Source organism: Homo sapiens, chromosome 2 (assembly GCF_000001405.40).
Source record: "Homo sapiens chromosome 2, GRCh38.p14 Primary Assembly".
Classification (NCBI taxonomy): domain Eukaryota; kingdom Metazoa; phylum Chordata; class Mammalia; order Primates; family Hominidae; genus Homo; species Homo sapiens.
Genome location: NC_000002.12, coordinates 97,240,285 through 97,260,693, shown reverse-complemented (window position 1 = coordinate 97,260,693; position 20,409 = coordinate 97,240,285). Strand labels below are relative to the sequence as shown.

Sequence of the window (20,409 nt, the reverse complement as noted above, 5' to 3'; positions counted from 1 at the left end):
AAGTCAATGCCTGGCTTCTAATCTTCAGAGGACAGGCTGACTCTTTATGTACTGGCTAATGCAGCTGGTTACATTAAAACATTAAAGGCAGTACTCATTTACCATTCTGCTACATTTTTAAGTTCTTCTAAACCTATGCTACCTATACTCTATAAATGAAACAACAAAGCCTGGATGAAAACACATCGTTTACAGTATGGTTTACCAAATATCTTAAGCACACTGTTGAGACCTATTGTCCAGAAAACGTGTGTGTGTGTGTGTGTGTTTGTGTGTGTGTATATGTGTATGTGTGTGTATGTATATATGTGTGTATATATATATATATATATATATATATATATATCTTTTAAAATATTACTGCTCATTGACAATGCACTCATAACCCAAGAGCTCTGATGGAGTTGTACAAATAGATTAATGTTGTTTTCATGCCTGCTAACACAGCATTCATTCTGAAGCCCATGGATCAAGGACATTTTATTATTTAAGAATACATTTTGTAAGCCTATACCTGCCATAGACAATGATTCTTCTGTGTATCTGCACAAGGCAAATTAAAAATCATCTGGATTTTTTTAGAAAGCAATCACTATTCTAGATGAAATTAAAGATATTTGTGATTCCTTGGAGGAGGTCAAAATATGAAGTTTGGAAGAAATTGATTTCAGCCCTCATAGATAGCTTGCAGGGTTTCAAGACTTCAGTGGAGGAAGTAACTGTGAGTGTGATGGAACTAGGGAGAGAACTAAGAGTAAAACTGGAGCCTGAGCCTGTGACTGAATTTCTGCAGTTTCATGATCAAACTTGAATGTACTAAAAGTTGTTTCTTATAGCCCATCCATCTGAGATGGAATCTATTCCTCGTGAAGATACTGTAAACACTGTTGAAATGACAAAAAAACACCTATCTTATTATACAAACTGAGTTGATAAAGCGGTGGCAGCATTAGATAGGATCGACTCTCATTTTGAAAGGTGTTCTACTGTGAGGTAAAATGCTATCCAACAGCATGGCACACTACAGATAAACCTTTCATCAAAGGAGTCAAGTGATGCAGCAAACTTTACTGTTGTTTTATTTTAAGAAATCGCCACAACCACCTCAATCTGCAGCAACCACCACCTTAATCATTCAGCAGCCATCAACACAGAGGAAAGACTCTTTATCAGCAAAAATTAAAATTCACTGAAGGCTCAGATGATCATTTGCATTTTTAGCAATAAAGTAGTTTTTAAAGTATGTAATTGTAGACATAAGGCTATTGCACACTTTATAGACTATGGTATAGTGTAAAAAACTTTTATATGCAGTGTAAAACCAAAAATTCAAGTTCTTATTACATTGTGGTTGCCTGGAATCACACCTGCAATATCCCTGAAGTATGCCTGTACAAGAAATCATGGATAACATACTAAAATAAATTTGGGAAACAATTCATTAACAGAATGATAGTTCTGAAGTAGAAATAGATATGATAACAAAAAAACAAATAGAAATTCTAGATATAGAGAATACAACAAACTAAAAATTTAATACAATGCTTCAGCAGCTGATTTTATTAGCAGAAAAAAAGAATCAGTGAGCTTAAAGAAAAAACATTTGAAATGATTCCATCGGGGAAAAACAACAACAAAAAAGAATAACAAATGCCTATGGCAATTATGGGACTCAATCAAACAACCCAACTTTCATATAATAACAGTTTCTGAAGGAGAAGAAAAAGAAAAAGGCCTAGCAAGCATATTTAATGAAATAATGACTAAAAATTTCCCAAACATGAAGAATGATGACAACATTGAGGTATGAAAACTGCAGAGGTCATGAATCCATTTCAATCCAAGAGGCATTTATCAACACACATCACAATGAAGTTATTAAAAATGAAAAACAAAGAATACTGAAAACAGCAAAAAAACAAGAAATACATCACATTCAAGGGAGCTTCAATATGGCTTTCAGTGGATTTCTCTGCAGAAAACCCTACAGTCCACGAGAGAGGGATGATGTATTCAAAATGCTAAAGCAAACAAGCAAGCAAACAAACAAAAATGCCAATCAACAATACTGTTCCCGGTTGGGTGAACTGGCTCATACCTGTAATCACAGCAGTTTGGGAGGCCAAGGCAGGTGGATCAGGAGGTCAGGAGTTCAAGACCAGCCTGGCCAACATGATGAAACCCCATCTCTACTAAAAATACAAAAATTAGCTGGGCATGGTGGCATGGGCCTGTAATCCCAACTACTCGGGAGGCTGAGGCAGGAGAATTGCTTGAACCTGGTAGGCAGAGATGGCAGTGAGCAAGCTTGAACCTGGGAGGCGAGATCACACCGCTGCACTCCAACCTGGGTGACAGAGCAAGACTCCATCTTGAAAAAAAAATGCTGTGCCTAGCAAAGCTGTCCTGTAGAAATGAGGGAGAGGGAGATATAAAAACCTTTCTATACAAAAAAAAACTAATAAAATTTATAATCAATATCCCTGATTGATCAGAATTACTAAAGGAAGAGCCTTACATTGAAATAAAAGGCTAAATAGTAAGAAAAAACACATAAAAGTAAAAAGCGTCAATGCTATCAGTAATACACAGTCATGTTCCAAATGCTCTAATATTCTAAGGGTGGTTTGTAAAGCAATTTTATCCCTACTAGTAGGGTTAGCAGACAAAGGTATTGAAAATAACTGTAGCTACAATAAATTGCTAAGGTATATAAGTATGAACTAAAAGGGTAAGTTTTGACATAAAATTGTACAATTGTAAGGGAGAGAGAATGAAAATGTAGACTTTTGGATGCAATTAAAGAGAAGTTGCTATCAGAAGTTGTTAGAGTAGTTTGTTATAAGAATATGATATTTTAGGTAAGTTTCATGATAACCACAAAACAAAACCTATCATAACTGCACAAAATAAAAAAGTTTATTTTGCAATTTATCCAAAATTTTAAAGCATACCACCACAGAAAGCCATCAAGCTATAAAATAGTTCAGCAAGAGAGAAAAAGGGAACAAAGAACTCATAAAACAATCAGAAAAAAAATTACAAAGTGGCAGTAGCAAGTCCTTCCCTATAAATAATTACCTTGATAGTAAGTGCATTACATTGTCAAATAAAAGGACATAGAGCATCTCAATGGATAGAATAAAAAACAAGATTCAATCATGTGCTGCCTACAAGAGACTCACTTTACCAGTCAAGACATATATAGGCTGAAACTGAAAAGATGAAAAAAGATATTCCATGCAAATGCAAACTAAAATAGAGCAGGGGAGCTATACTTACTATTAAAAGAAATAAACTAAGTCAAAACCTATAAAAGAGATAGGGTTCACTGCATAACGATAAAGGAGTTAATTCATCATGAAGACATAATACATGTAAATATATATGCACTCAAGGTCACAAGACCTAAATTCATAAAGCAATTATTAAATAATCTCATGAGAAAAATATACTGCAATACTATAATAGTAGGAGACCTCAATACTCCAATTTCAACCATGGAAAGATCATTTAGAAAGATAATAAATTAAGAAACATTAGATTTGAATCACACTTTGGAGCAACTGGATCTAACAGATATACCCAGAACATCCTATCCAACAGCAGAAGTGTACCTGTTCTTCTGAAATGTGGGTGGAACATTCTCCAGTATATGTCATATGTTAGGCCACAAAACAGATCTTAACAAATATTAGAGAATTGAATTATAGAAAGAAAATTTTTGCATCCCAATGGCATAAAGCTAGAAATCCGTAACAGAAGAAATCTTGAAAAATACATAAAATAGCAAAATTTAACATATTCATAAATGGCCCATGAGTTACAGAAAAAATTTAAAAACATATTTTAAGACACACAAAAATGAAAACACAACATACCAAAACTTATAGAATGTAGTTAAATCAATCATTATACCTCAATGAACTAGATGAGAAACAAAGCCAAGAATTAGCAGAAATAAGAAAATAGCAAAGATTAAAGTGGAAATAAATAAAATAGATATGAGAAACCCAATGGAAAGAATTAATACTGAACTTCTTTTTAAGGCGATAAACAAAATCAACCAATCCGTATCTAGACTAACTAGAAAAAGGACTATTCCAACAAATAAGATCAGAAATGAAATAGGAGAAATTACAACTTTTAACTCTAAAATACAAAGGATTACAATTGTTCATATAATGAACATTTGTATGCCAACAATTTGGATAACATGGAAGAAATAAAAACATTTCCACAAACATACAACTTACCAAGACTGAATCAAGAAGAAACAGAAAATCTGAATGGACTAATAAATAATAAGGAAATTGAAGCAGAATTTTTTTTTTTTGAAGCGGAGTTTTGCTTTTGTTGCCCAGGGTAGAGTGCAATGGCACAGTCTCAGCTAACTGCAGCCTCCGCCTCCCAGGTTCAAGCAATTCTCCTACCTCAGCCTTCCAAGTAGCTGGGATTACAGGCGCCCACCACCACACCCATCTGATTTTTTGTATTTTTAGTAGAGACAGGGTTTCACTACTTTGGCTAGGCTGGTCTCGAACTCCAGACCTCAAGCAATCCACCCACCTCAGCCTCCCAAAGTGCTAGGATTACAGGTGTGAGCCACCAAGCCTGGCCTGAAGCAGAAATTAAAAGCCTCCCATGAAAGAAAAGCATAGGACCAGAAGGCTTCACTGCTAAATTCTGACAAACCTTTAAAGAACTAATACTAATTACTCTCAAACTCTTTCAAAAAAGTGAAATAGAGGAAATACTTCCAAACTCATTTTATTAGGGTACCATCATTCCGATACCAAAGACAGACAAGGACACTACAAGAGACGAAAATACTAGGCCAATGTCAGTAACGAACCCTGATTCAAAAATCTTCAACAAAACATTAGCAACCAAATTTAAGAATATATGAATGGAATCATTCACCATGATAAAGTGGGATTTATCCTTTGGATGCAAGTTGGTTTCAACATATGCATATGAATACATGTGATAAAATGCATGAACAAAGTCAAAGACAAAAATCATACGATTCTCTCAATACATGCAGAAAAAGCACATGACAAAATTTAAAACCCTTTCATGATGAAAGCTCTCAACAAATTAAGTGTAGAGAAAATGTATCTCGACACAAAAAAGAACCGTGTATGACAAGCTCTTAGCTAACATTATTCTCAACAGTGAAAAGTGGAAAGCTTTTCCTCCATGTTCAGAGACAAGACAAGGATGACCAGTCTCACCACTTCTTTTCATCGTTAACAGTGGAATTCCTAGGCAGAACAATTAGACAAGAAAAGAAAAGCATCCTACTCAGAAAAAAGTGAAATTATCTCTAATTGCAGACAACATGATCCTGTATACAGAAAACCCTAAATATTCCACCAAAAACTGTTAGAACTGATGCATGAATTCGATAAGGTTTCAGGATACAAAATAATCTAACAAAGATCAGAAGTGTTTCTGTATACAAATAACAAACTACCTGAAGAAATTTTTTAAAAATCCCAAGTATGATAGCAACAGAAATTAAATACTTAGGTGTAAATTTAAGCAAAAAATTAAAGGTCCTGTATATGAAAAACTATAAAACACCAATGAACAAAAATTTAAAAACACAAGTAAATGAAAAAAAAATTCATGCTTGTGGATGGGATGAATTAATATTGTGAAAATGAACAAAATACCAAAAGCAACATATTTGATGCAATCACTATCAAAATTCCAATGCCATTCTTTTACAGAAATGGAAAAAAATCTTGACATTTGTATTGAACAGACCTAAAATAGACAAAATAATCTTGAGCAAAAAGAACAAAGCTAGAGACAGCATGCTACCTAATTTTATTACATATTGTAAAACAATTGTAATCATGGTAGTGGCATATAAATGGACAAATTTGCTAAACAAAATGGAAAACCCAGAAATAAATCCACACACGTCAACTTATCTTTGACAAAGGTGCCAAGGACATACAATGGTTAAAGGATAGTCTGTTCTACAAATGGTGTTGAGAAAACTGAATATCCACAGGAAAAATAAAGTTAGTCCCTTAACTTACACCACATACTAATATCAACTCCAAATGAAGATTTAAATAGAAGGCCTGAACTGTAAAATTACTAGAAGAAAACATAGAGTTAAAGCTCCACAACACTGGTCTCAGCAATACTGTTTTTGATGCAACCCTGATAGCAGTCAACAAAAGCAGAAATAGACAAATTTCTTGTGGCTTAGTTTTGAATTTCTGGTCATTTACTCAATCTGGTCATTACTTTCCCACACTTCATGGTTACAAGTACCAGCCAAGACATGGATCCACCTTCCTACTGCAGTATCTGAAAATCACTGTCTGTTCTATCCTCGGCCTGACCCTCTCTGGCATTCTCGGGATCTACATTTTGATGGAAATGTAATGCTCTGGAACCCTAGGCATATATGAACCAGAAACATGTATGCAGACTCTACTTACCGACAGCAACATAGTTGGAAATACAGTAATCACAGTTGGATAGGAACAAATATTTTATATCTCTTTCTTAGAGATCTGGATTCCACTAAAACGGATTCATGGATGTCAGGGCATTAGGGGTGTGGACTGATAACAAACCTCTCCTTTTTCAGTGCCAAACCAACTTAGAAATAAAAACAAAAGGTCAGATCAATATCCAAATACATTATTCCTCCTAAAGCTGATTTAGAAACTATGGCTTAATGTTGACCAAAAAAGACTTCTAATATTGCCCCCTAGCCTTGACTTTAGAACCTGAACAAAAAAAAGTTCATCTGAAGAACAGTCAGTTACCCACCCAGTGCAGGGAGGGTCTTCACCTGCCTTCCAAGTCTCCTGTTCAGAATCCAGAGGAGAAAGAGAGACTAGATGTACTCATTGATCACTGAGTAAGTTTGCCTTACTAATAGGCAAACGTGGACCAATGGATTTGATGGGACCAATGGATAAGATTTCCCATCCACCAAATAAGTCACATCTTCTCCTGGCTCTGGGAATGAGCCAGATAAAGGTGAAGAGTTGGCAGTGTTTCTACTCAATATTTGTGAGAAGACCGAAGGTGTTGTCAATGGGTAGATAGAACTGGAATGAGGTGGGAAAGTTTTACTCGTTTGACCAACTTCTTTTTATTCAAGTTGTATATGCTGAAGGTAGCCGCTAGAAGAATTGACTTCTGGAAAGATGATTCCCCTCACAATTGCTTGATCTTGAGTATTTTTATTTTTGTGTTAAAGAACTGATGTTGGTTTGTGTACACTGAAATAATGGGGGGAAGCTCTGTATGGAAGGAAAAGAAAGTTTCCTTTCTTTTCTAGAGCCGTCTGTTCAGGTTATCGGAGTCTCCCTATTCATGGGATGAGTGTCCACAACAAACTCCACAATCCTGTGTCTGCTCATTGAAGGTATGTATCAGAGTGACACTTGGAAGCATGGTATAAAGAGGAAATATGCATTTGTCAAATGAAAAATTAAAATATAAGAAAAAGTTTAAAAGGAAAAACAGAATGAGAAGGGCAGGGGCTTGATTAGAGTTTTGTCAACTGGGACAAACTTTGCAGTTTTAGTCAAATATTGCCATCTTTCTAGTGGAAGACTTTGACATGTAAGTTCTAGATTATACTTTCATTTATAAATAACTGTGTAGCTTAATGAGATGGCCCCTGTTAGTATCTTAGGCCATCTATTGAAGGTTTACTAAATTCTTCCAAGGCACGTGAGTCTGCTCCTCAGCAAAGCAGTGACAAACCTGCTTTTCCCTGGTTTCCCCAACTATGTAAAACCTTATTAAAGAATTCCTGAACAATATAAAGTTCCCTCAGCAAGACGGAACTTCCCAAGCTCTTGTCTCAGGAGAGAATGTGGATTATAGAAAGATTGTGGGTGTGAGTGGAGTGGGAAGTTATTTAGGTAGTAAGATTTTCAGGCTCGGTGCAGTGGCTCACACCTGTAATCCCAGCACTTTGGGTGGCCGAGGTGGGCAGATCACAAGGTCAGGAGATGGAGACCATCCTGGCTAACAGGGAGAAACTCCATCTCTACTAAAAATACAAAAAAAAACTAGCTGGGCACCTGTAGTCGCAGCTACTCGGGAGGTTGAGGCAGGAGAACCGCGTGAACCCAGAAGGCGGAGCTTGCAGTGAGCCAAGATCTCGCCACTGCACTGCAGCCTGGGTGACAGAGCCAGACTCCGTCTCAAAAAAAAAATAATAAAAAAATAAAAAGTTAAAGAGGCCAAGAAACATCATTTAAAACACGATATAAATTTTCATCAGACATAAAAGATAAAAAATATTTTCATTTAATAAATACTTTTGCATGTCACACATTTAACGGGAAACAAAATATCATGTTAACAGCCTAGTAATACAATTTTATTGTCTTAGATTTTTTTCGTCAGCATGTATTCTTTCTGTTTTGTTTTGCATTTGAGATGGAGTCACTCTGTTGCTCAGGCTGGAGTGCAGTGGCACGATCTTGGCTCACTGAAACCTCTGCCTCCCGGGTTCAAGTGATTCTCCCACCTCAGCCTCCCGAGTAGCTGAGACTACAGGCATGCACCACCACACCCAGCTAATTTTTGTATTTTTAGTAGAGACAGGATTTCACCATATTGGCCAGGCTGGTCTTGAACTCCTGACCTCAAGTGATCCACCTGCACTGGCCTCCCAAAGTGCTGAGAATACAGGCATGAGCCACTGCAGCCAGACAGCACATATTCTTGTTATGCTTTTAAAACTAGTTATTGATTTAAATTTTACTCATTAGTAGATTCTAGTGCAGAAGCTATAGAGCAGCAGTCCCCAGCCTTTTTGGCACCAGGCAGCAGTTTTGTGAAAGATAATTTTTCCACAGATGGGGGTTTGGGGGATGGTTTCAGGATGGTGATTCAAGCGTATTACATCTATTGTGCACTTTATTCCTATTATGACTACATTGTAATACATAATGAAATAATTACACAACTCATCATAATGGAGAATCAATGGGAGTCCTGAGCTTGTTTTTCTGTAACTAGATGGTCCCATCGTGAAGAGATAGGAGACAATGACATATCATCAGGCATTAGAGTCTCATAAGGAGCATGTGACCTAGATCCCTTGAACGAGCAGTTCACAGTAGGATTTTCACTCCTGTGAGAATCTAATGGCTTTGCTGATCTGACAGGAGGCAGAGCTCAGGTGATAATGTGAGCAACAGGGAGTGGCTGGAAATACAGATGAAGCTTCACTCGCTTGCCTGCCACTCACCTCCTGCTGTGCAGCCTGCTTCCTAACAGGTCATGGAACTGTGTGTGGCCTGGGAGTTGGGGACCCCTGCTATAGAGGATTCAGATTTAAATTCAGAAGTTAGAATGAAAAAGAATTATATTCTTTATCTAAATGATTTCACAGTTAACTAAGAGAAAGTCAGTATATGCTGAAAAGCTTATCAGTGTTAATAAGAATGAAAAATATGTACAATATGCAATTACTATTAAATATAATTTGCCCATAGTTGCACACCGAATTCATTATCATGGCAGTTAAGTATCAGAGCTTCTGGTTTCTCACTCTTCGTTCATGTATTCAGCAACCATGTGCTAAGGTACTAGGACAAGCACTGGAATTACAAGATAAAGATGATACGGTCCGCCCCTCAACAACTGTATGCTATAATCTGAAAAAACAAACAGGCAATTCCCATACAGAGTCATACATACAATGACAAGCATAAGACAGCACTTATTGGAAGACATAGAAGGGATACTAGCCCAGGTTTGTGTCAATATTGTAGGCTTTTTGGTAGAGGCAATTCATAGGTTGATATCTGAAGGGGAAGGAAAACACATGTAGGATAGAGGGAAGAAGTAAATGCAAACAGCTGGAGGTGAAGACGATCACTGTGGAGCTCCATGTAGTCTAGTTTGGCTGGATGCTAGAACAAAGGTGTAGAGTATGGTAAGTGGCGAAAGATAAGGCTGAATAACTTGACAAGAACCACACTGATGTGAGAGTTTTGATTCCATGCTAAGGAATTTTCAACTTTTCCCAGGGGCAAAAGTAAACCAATGACAAAGTCAATGACTAGAGATTTAAAATGTCACTGGTCAAGTGACTGCTTGTGACCTGTAATTGCTTAACTAATTATTATCACATGAGTGTGGGGTCTGTTAGCCTTAAATCACTACCTTAACCTTGAGAAGTTGATAATGCCTTTGTTTTGTGAGAACAGTTTCAGTGTGCAGGCTGATAGTCTATAGGGGTGGCAGAAGAAAAGTGTAGGGCCAGAAAAAAAGGGATACACAGATTTCTTGCGATTTTTTTAAAGCTATGAAACATGATGAATTAACAAAGCATAAGTATACCCTTCACTATGAATGTTTATGTTTTCACATCTTTCACTAGATGTGTGTAAGAAAAAATATTTAATGTAGCATTTATTAACCAAGCAATTGAGAGGGAATACCGTTCACTACTTAGAGTTTATTTCAGAAATCAATGATTTGAATTTAATTCATAAATTTTGGCAACATACCTTCATCTAGCTCTCAAACACCTGCAGCATCTGAAATAAATCAAATATTACTTATAATGTTTCAGTCAAACAAGAGACATTATCATGTAAACCCACTGTAAGTCAAGGAGCATCTGTACTGTAGATTGATCATCCCTAATCTAAAAATCTGAAATCCAAAATGCTCTACAATCTGAAACTTTTTGAGCACGGACATGACACCACAACTGCAACGTTCCACACCTGACCTCATGTGACAGGCTCTGGGGAAAACAGTAAAAACTTTCTTACCTGCAAAAAATTACTGTAAAACATTGTAGAGAATTACCTTCAGGCTATGTGCATAAGGTATATATGAAACACAAATGAATTTCATGTTTAGACTCAGGTACCATCCGCAAGATATTTCATTAGGTATATACAAATATTCCAAAATCTGAAAAAAATCTACTTTTGGTCCCAAGCATTTTGGACAAGGGATATTTAACCCATCCTACTGGAAAAATAAAATTCCTTTTCAGTATGACAGAAATTAAGAGATCAGCTTACCAAACTTGAATGCTGCAGGATTTTCTCAAGCCGCTCAATTTGGTCATCCTGTTTTTTAATAATTTTTCTCATCATCACATGTTCTACTTCAAGCCTAAAATGTGCATTTTAAAATAATTACTCTCACACGTAATTTTTTTTAAATCATGTAAATTCTAAACAAACTTCTGAAGGTATAATTACACAAATTCTTAGCAATCACAAAAGTAGACGATTGGGCTACTGTGTCATTTTCTACCTGTGTTTTGGTGATAATATGCAAAATTTAGGAATAATGTAGAAAAATGATGTATTTCGATATAGCTTACAAATGAAACTTTTTTGGCTTCACAAAGACATACTAATTATCATAACTGATACAATTTTCATACTACAGTGCTCTTTTGCTTTATAAATACTCAAGTTATTTTGTGTGCTGCTTCAAATTTTACTTTTGTGTGTCGCCTTCCATCTCCTTAGTACATCTTATAGTAGCTGTAAGTTGATCCTGTATTTCTTGAAACTGAAACAAAGAATTTTAAAAAATTACATTTGGAAATGACCTAAATGTCCATCAGTAGATGAATGAATCAACAAAATATATATGAAATATTTTAGACTATCACAATCTTTTTTATTTATAAAAGGTCATAATCTAGGAGAAATCATCCCATTACCTGTTTTTTGTAAGTAATTTTAGTGGGACACTGCTACACCCCTTCAGTCTGCATATTGTTCATGGCTACTTTTGTGCTGTAATTGCAGGGCCGAGTTATTGCAACAAGGATCTTATGGCTCACAAAGCCTTACATAACACTATCTGGCCCTTTACAGAAAAGTTCACAGACCCCTGCTCTAGGACTAAAACACAACATTCTTCTTGCTTTTGAATTACATTTTATCAATTAAATACTCAAACTTACAAACTGGTAAAATGTGGAAAGATAAAGGATTACCTCACGCTAAGCATTTATATTTTGAATTCCAAACACTACCACATCAACTATAATTTTATTTTTTGTATGTATGCATTTAGTTTTATTATAGCAAAGCAACTTGCACATTTTTAAATATTTAAAACTAAGCATCATCTTTCCTTTCTAGGGAAACAACAAGAAAATTTAAAAACAAGCAGGAACAAAATTAAAATCGACAAAGTCAGTTCCAAATAAGATCCTACAGGATCTTATTGACTCTCCCATTGAATAGCAGGACTCAGGTCATCATTAGGAGAGAAGTGATTTAAAAGCGTCATCTTAAACTGCAAAGATGTCCATTAAACATGCCAAAGGAGAAGCCCTGTTGTCTAAATGCCCACTTAACCAACCCAAACATCTCAAACCCATCCTTTGCTGACCTTCTATAACCCCCTTTTTAGTTTAGCTTTCTCTACAAATAAGAGAAAATAGATACATGTTGGCAAATGCTAACTGTCCATATTCATATAGAGACAGAGTGTGCTCTCTGAGCCCAATACAAAGGAAGTAAGGATTTTCATCGAAATAAAAATTTATTCAGTAAAATGGCCTTTCTGAACAAGTTAACCTGAAATCTAAGAAATAAGTATACACAGGTTCTTTATACATTCAGAAAAGTAGAGACTAAAAAGAAGATAATTTTCTGAAACATTCCATTAGACATTATCCTCTGAATTAACCTGGCTTGCCTCACCATGCCAATAGAGAAATCATTAAAAATAGACTGTTTAACAGGAAAAAAAAACTCTCTCAACTTCTGTGAGAAATGATGCATAATTCTCAACTTTCCTAAGGTTAAATATTTAAGAAAAAAATATATGTATAAAAAATGGCAGAATGAAAGCCAGAGATTAAGATATAGGTGCATTATAATAAAATCTTAATAAAATTAATAATAAGGAAAATACAGAAGAAAGCCATCCACTATAAAATTTTAATAACATTAATTATCATAAAAATACAAAAGAAAGCCATCCACTAAAATTAGTACCCCAAAACACTTTATATTAGTTAACTAGCTACAGATTAACAGTTGTTGGTGTGCAAAGTTGCATACATACTTGACTTCTCATCTGGTCTAATTTCTTCCTTGAATCCTGCATCCCATTTTCTAAATAGGTGCAGTGACGCGATGAAGCATCCAGCAGAGCTTTTGTTGCTGATCCTTTGTTTAAGACATCATCTCGTTTTTGTTGAAGCTGTCTCACAGCTACCTGATAAGATGTTATTTTTGTTACTGATTTTACAAATCACCTTATTATTAAACCATTAATAATATTTAACTCTAAAGCATACTCTTTGAAAAATATCACCACACAGACCGATTCACCTTCTTTTCCTCATGTGTACACATTCCTGTGTATTACTGAATCCAGTTAAGGATACAGAAGGTGTTATCTTCCTGCCAAACTGGTATTGTTATTCACACAACATATTCAGCCCACTAGTCATTCCTCCCTTGATGAATCTGCAATGCTTAAAAACCTTCTGAAGTCTCAAAAAGAAATGAGTATGTGGGTGAGACTGATGGTAGTAAATTATACATTGTGGAATGATTTCCCTCTTTTTTTAAATTAGAAACTCAAATCAACCTCAGAGTTCCTCACATTAAATCATCTGCTTAAATCCTTCCAATAGATGTCTATCTCAGAAGAAAAGTAAAATTCCAGTGGCCTTAGATGCTCTAAGTAACCCGCCCTCCACCTCCCGCCCTGACTCAGCTGCTATATCTCTCCTCCGTACTCACTCCATTCCTACTCTACGTGAATCCTGCCACTCCTCGTTAGTCTGAAATCCTCCTTAGTCTGAAAATGGGGATCCAGTGTCAAACTAATAAATCACAGATAGCTATGCCTCTCTTTGTCCTGGACAAAGTTATATCCAAATGATAGTAATTGAGCCTTGAAATAAAAATTATGAACAAATTTTTTATTTAAAAACTGAAAGTAAATTATAAATGCCAGTGGGAAGATTAAATCAAACATGATTTGGCTAAAATTTACTGCATTTGCCCCATATTATAATAGAAGTAAAATTAGATGCCTTGAAAGAATAGAATGGTCATATCTATACATAATTTGAGATTGAAATAGTTTCAGATTTAAGTCAAATTGACATGAAGAAAAACAAAATTTTACCAACTAAGACATATTTAAAGCTACTGAAGAAAAGTAATTATGAAATAGGGAATACACTTCAGTTCATCTAGGAAATCTGAAATTCACTGTCAAAGTACCCCACTTAATTGAATCAATTTCAAAATACCATTTTAGGTATGAGCATTTCCATATACCTGATTTATCATGGTCTTAAAATGTTGCAACATAAATACATTAAAATTATTACTTCAGCAGTATAAGACTACATTATTAATGTTAGTCTATGTTAACATTTTATAACTTAAAATTTTATAAGTGACACATTGACTTTAATCAGAGGAAAGCATCTCTCAGTTCTAACTTTGACTTGCTGGAGACAAGGAATGTTTCTAAGCAGATATATTTATCATATGTATCCTTTTTTATATTCAACTAGATCCAACATTCAGCTGTAACCAAATATTACTTTAAATTTTACTTCAGGAAGTTTGAAAAATACTTATTTTTCTTGATACTTACTTCTCTTTCTGCTTTCTCTTTTTCATATTGGCATTCTTTTTCTTTCGAATGATTCAGTTCATTGACCAACATTTTATTGTCTTCTTCTAGTAAAAGACGGTGCTTTCTGCACTCAGCTTGAAGGTTTTGTACTCTAGCATCACATCTGGCTTGAATATTAAGTATTGCTTTTTCTTGATTGTCAGCTTTGTTGCGAGCATCATCCAGTTGCTGTTGAAGCAACATATTTTGTTTTTTTAGTTGACAAAATCTTTCCTGTTTTTCTATGCATTTTTCCATTGTATTGTATCCACTTTTGTACATTTTTTCAATGTCCTTCATTTGACTCTGTTTTTGCTTTAGCTCACTTTGCACGTGTTCAAAAACCAAAGCCTTTTCTTTCAGAGCCTCTCCTGTGTAATGGAGCTCAGTTTTGAGGACTCTGGACTTACTCTCAGCTTTAGAAAGTTGCAGAGAAAGAATCAGAACATGAGAATTCAAATTTTCCTGTAAGTGACGACATTTATCTACTGTGCCCTGGAAAGCAAGCTCTTGGTCTCTTTTTGATGAGTGACTTTGATCATGATCACATCGAGCAGCATTCAGTCTACAATGGTATGATTGCATTTCTGTTTCCAGTCTTTGCCTGCTCTCTCTTTGCTTCTCCAGTTTGGAACGGAGCGTTGTGTTTTCATCTGTCAGAGCAGCAAGCTGTCCACTATAACAGGCTATCGTTTTTGCTAATGTTTCCCCATTCCGTTTTAGAGCCTTTTGAAGGTCTTCATGCTTTCTTTTCACAATTTCAAAGTCTTTTAAGTATTTCTTTTCCAGGTTTTGGTTTTTTATTGTGTCTTTTTCCAGCCTGAGCCTGGCAATTTCATCTTGCATCAAGCGGTTTTCATGCAGCAGGTCTTCTTTTTCATCAGTTTCAGAAACCTAAGTAAAACAAAGCAAACTTGTAACTAGTATCCAATAGGATAACATATTGTGATTGCTTCTGAAATTAAATAATAACCTGTACATTTATACAATGAGAGGTTGCCATAACTGGATATCTAACTGGGAAAAAAGAAGTTAAGTCAAAACCTCAAACCTCATACAGCATAAATTCCCCAAAGTTCAAAAGTTTATTTGAAGACAGTGAATCCATGAAAGCAAAAAAGAAGCCACTAGATAATTTTTTTAAATTTCAGGATAAAAAAAGGCTTTTACTGAATTACAACAAATTGCAAGGCATAAAGAATTAATAACTATGACCACATTAAAAAATTGGGTTTACACTCTAACATCTAAACTATACCTCTCCCTATAGTGAGAGCCTTAGCTTGGCAGATATTTGGACAGATGAATGACATTTTCCAAATTCTTTAAGTTCCCTTTTTCTAAAATATTGTATAGATATTCTACTTTTCTAATATTGTTATGGTCAGTTTTAAGAATGACATTTATTGATAAATGATAAAGCTAGGCATTATACTAAGCACTTTTACGTGCACAAATCAATGAACTCATTTAGTTATAATTCTATAGCAAAAGGTTAAAAATATAAGCAAGCTGCAGGATTTTTCCCAGCTTTTCTGACTCTATTCCTAGTGCTCTTCCACCAAATCAGTAACTTCTGTGAGGTAGATATATACATACAAAAATAATCTTTTATTTCAAGACACCAAAAGTCAAGAAAATTAGATCTATAAAACTCTTCTTAGAAAATCATGACATTATTTGCTATTGTGATAACTTTTATTCCTTTTCCATAACATTTGAAATGTAATTAACATGAAATAGGGGAAATATGCTGAACTATGTCACTAGGAACAAAATACTTACAATATCATTAAGTATATATTGTAGAATAGCATTGTTTTCAAAAGGCCTTTGAACTAAAATAAAATATTTCAAGGTTTATTATAAATAATTATAGCTATAAATGCCATGATTCATTTTTAAGATGAAATAAAATTTGGGGATTGTTCAGGCCTAAATAATATACGTTAAATGAAAGAGATGGTATAAGTAATATTAATAAGAGTAGAAATATGAAGTTTTACCAAACATTAATTTACCTGATTTGAATTATTTCCTCCTGTCTTCAATTCCACCTCTGCTGATTTGAGAGCCGGTTTAATTGGTTTTGTCACATCAGCTTCTATCCTATATTGCTCTTCTGTTATTCTTAACTTTTCCCTAACTTTTTGGTGCACCTCTTCAACATTTCTTCTTTTCTTTTTTTCTTGCTGTATGGCAAATCTGTAAATATACTTATCTTAGAATTTATCTTATCAGTGAGGACTAAGCTCTAATTTTTTATCTTGCCCAAATTCCTACCTAAGGGGTCCAGGGAGTCGTGCCCTACAAACCATGGATTCTCATCAGATGGGTTTTATTTGACCCTGTATATTGTGACTTGCTTTTCAATCTGACTCTGGCATAACCTTACGAGACAAGGAAGAAAATATTTAATCCAAAATATATTTCCTTGCCATGCCTTGAAATTGCCCTGCAAAGTCTCTTGTGGGAAAAATCCACATTCTATAGAGAACCCCCTTTCCCCTTTGTTTTCCTTCCTTTCTATGCAGATCCAGGGGATATTCAGCTGAGAGCCAGGCACCCTTTTGGGTCCGATAAGAAACATTTTACAATCTGCTCTCTCTGAAGTCTGCTGAGAGATTCCTCTGCACAGTAAAACTTGGTCCCCACAATCATTTATCTTAACCTGAACATTTCTTTCCATTAATCCCAGGTCTTCAAATAAACTCAAGCAATTGTCAACCAGAAAATGTTTAAATTTACCTACAGCCTGGAAGCCCCAGCTTTGAGTTGGCCTGCCTTTCTGAACCAAACCAATGTATTTCTTACATGTATTTGATTGCTGTCTCATGCTTCTCTAAAATGTATAAAACCAAGCTGCACCCCGACCACCTCGGGCACATGTTCTCAGGACCTCCTGAGGGCTGTGTCGGGGGCCACGGTCACTCATATTTGGCTCAGAATAAATCTCTTCAAATATCTTACAGAGTTTGACTCTCTTTGTTGATATTAGAAAATAAAACATTCATATGTTGGTTTATTATCCTAATAAAGTTTCTATGTTCTTAAATACTATTTTTCTTTCTAGTTCTCATGTTTTTAATTTCTCACCTCAATCTCATCCAAAGGGCATGTATAAGTTGAAATGTATTGATAAAAGAACATCCTGCATAAGTTTCTATTACTAGTAACTCTAGCAAATATTATGAAAAAGGACGTTGAAAATTATTCAGTAAAGTTACAAGATAAAAATTATCTTTTCTTCACAGTAATTACTCCTCAATTAGGATGAATCATTTAGAGTTAATTAACATAAAGTTACTTTTTATAAACAAGTTGGTACATTCACTAGAAATACATTTTCATCTTCATGAAACATTCATTGCAAGTATCCCTAAACATAATTTACATTGCAAGATAGCATTTTCGATGTCTTTATGAAACATATATCAGCAGATTACTGTAATCCAAGACTAGGTTAAGAAGGTAATATGTTACCCTACACTTTTTCAGATTGTTTTTTGGGTAACACTTTCAGTCTATCCTGCTGATTAGTATGTACTTTATAACCAATTGTAAAATCTGTTTTGGAACAACACAAGATCTAATATTTAATTAAACAATAAAGAATAATACATGTCTTCAGCATAAAACTGAATTAATTTTATCTACATAGCAGAGAGATGTTGAATAAGCTAATCAGTAATCACTTTACATTTTACTTTTCATTCCCTGCATATTAAGAATAAAACTGGATACATTTTTTTTTTTTTTTTTGAGAGGGAGTCTCCTACTATCACTGGGCTGGAGTGCACTGGTGCAATCTCTGCTCACTGCAACCTCTGCCTCCCAGTTTCATGCGATTCTCCTGCCTCAGCCTCCTGCGTAGCTGGGATTACAGGTACAACCACCATACCTGGCTAATTTTTTGTATTTTTAGTAGAGATAGCATTTCACTGTGTTGGGCAGACTGGTCTCGAACTCCTGACCTCGTGATCTGCCCACCTCGGCCTACCAAAGTGCTGGGATTACAGGCATGAGCCACTGCACCCGGCTGATAATTTTTAAAATAATTATTCTGGGTAAAGAAAAATATCTGTTTTATACTCTGTTGGTTGAATTATAAATTAATATGAACATCCTTAAGAACAATTTAGAAATATTGATCACAGATCTAAAACAGATCTAAAAAAGTTTCTATACTTTAACCAGAAGAATTTATCCAATGTAAATAATTAGAAATGTAGAAAACTATGTGTATATAAAAGATGTTCCTTGTAGCATTATTACAAAAACTTTTTAAAACCTGAAATTCAATTCATCAATTAAATAATGAGATTTCCAAAAGGTAAAATTCTATACAGCCATTAAAACTATGATTTAAAAGAATATGCATTTAATTATTAGAGAAGTATTCACAATTAAGAACTTGTGATATTATATCCAATAATTTCACACTCCATAAGATTAAGAAGCTTTCTTCCCTGTTAAATCCTAGAAGGAAAGTTCGCAATTACAAAACTTCTCCTTATACGTCTTTAATATAAAACAAACAGTTCAAACATTTATTTAAAACTAGGTCATACCTCAAACTACAGAGTTCTTTTTCCAATTCAAGTATTTCATGCTTTAACTGCGATTTTATTTCTTCTTTTTCAGATATTCTCTTTTGTAGTACACTAGCCTTATTTTTCAGTTTTCGAATTTTTACTCTAAGTTGCTCACAGTGGTTATCTTTAAGTTTTATTAATCTTTTCCATAAACAAAATGTATTTTTAATTTTCAATAGGTGAACACAATCTGTAACCAGGAAAAAACAAAGTAGAGATAAAATACATGAGTAGATTTTTGGATATAAAGGACTGTGCATTTTTAACATGTATTCATTCATACGTTGAACAAGTATGTACATATTGAGTGCCTACAAGGTGGAAGATATTATAGTAAGGTCTGCAGATAAGACAACACCTCTGCTATTGTTTTAGCTTAAAGTATAGTGAAGAACCAAGATAAAAAGGTGACAGTTATAAACTCAGATAGGTCCTGTAAAAAAAAAAAAAAAAAAAAAAAAAAAAAAAAAAAACATAGTTATGTGATTGCATAAGATAATTTGATCTATACTTCACCCAGGGAAGATTTCCCTGAGGAAGAGATGCTACACTGAGAAATGAAGGATGAGAAAGAAGCAGTTAAGCAAAGAAGAAAGCAAAGCACTCTGGCTAGTTTGCAGCATGTGCTGTGCTGAAGCTCTGCTGCAATCTGTTACTAGCTCTGATGGAGTAACAGATACTGATTTTTCATCTTATCTGAATGAATAAAAAACAAAACAGACACAATACATTAAACTGATTTTCAACACAGTGGACTTCAGGCAATGAAGATGGTAGGTGATCACTGAAAGACAGAAAACAAATACAGCAGGCCTTACAAATATCCCAGCTCTTTTGACAGAGTTTTGACGGAGGTTCGAGGCCATCACAAAGGGAGAAAATCTGACATAGAGCTGGGGTGATGACGCTGAGAGGCCAGTAAAACCAAAGCAGATAGAGATCACAGGACAGAAAACTGGAGAGAAAAAAGCAGTACAGGAAACAAATCCTGGAGATGTGCAGAGATTCCCTCTTGGGTATTTAGTGGAGTAATGAAAAGTGCTTGTGTACTAGGAAACTTCCTAAGAACAATGAAAAATAAAATAAAAAAAAACAACAGTTAAAGAAAATTAGCAGAAACGATGTCTGGGGTTCACACAATGACTGGAAGAGGGTCCATTCCCATGAGCCA

General features: G+C 34.9%; 1 protein-coding gene across 50 annotated transcripts in view, besides 1 other annotated feature; it reads right to left on the bottom strand.

Moving 5' to 3' along the window:
- Positions 1-20,409, bottom strand: part of ANKRD36 (ankyrin repeat domain 36) — a 151,369-nt gene that overhangs the window by 3,828 nt on the left and 127,132 nt on the right. For 44 of the 50 annotated variants that reach the window (XM_017004009.2, NM_001354587.1, XM_017004010.2 and 41 more), the window contains 7 exons: positions 19,215-19,428; positions 16,665-16,848; positions 14,623-15,537; positions 13,066-13,218; positions 11,480-11,550; positions 11,049-11,142; positions 10,521-10,550 (listed from right to left, as the gene is read on the bottom strand). In XM_017004009.2, coding sequence (XP_016859498.1) covers positions 10,527-10,550; positions 11,049-11,142; positions 11,480-11,550; positions 13,066-13,218; positions 14,623-15,537; positions 16,665-16,848; positions 19,215-19,428 — 1,655 coding nt within the window. In that variant the 3' untranslated portion in view covers positions 10,521-10,526. Of the gene's footprint in view, positions 1-4,754; positions 10,551-11,048; positions 13,219-14,622; positions 15,538-16,664; positions 16,849-19,214; positions 19,429-20,409 lie in introns of those variants that run through there. The other 6 variants (XM_006712514.4, XM_047444230.1, XM_047444227.1 and 3 more) reach the window with 4 other exon arrangements.
- Positions 12,934-13,519: an enhancer, noted in NCBI's record as "NANOG hESC enhancer chr2:97912912-97913497 (GRCh37/hg19 assembly coordinates)". NCBI's record gives its function as "activates a minimal SCP1, AML or CMV promoter by ChIP-STARR-seq in naive and primed H9 embryonic stem cells {active_cell/tissue: H9 hESC(naive and primed)}" and the evidence as "EXISTENCE:reporter gene assay evidence [ECO:0000049][PMID:30033119]".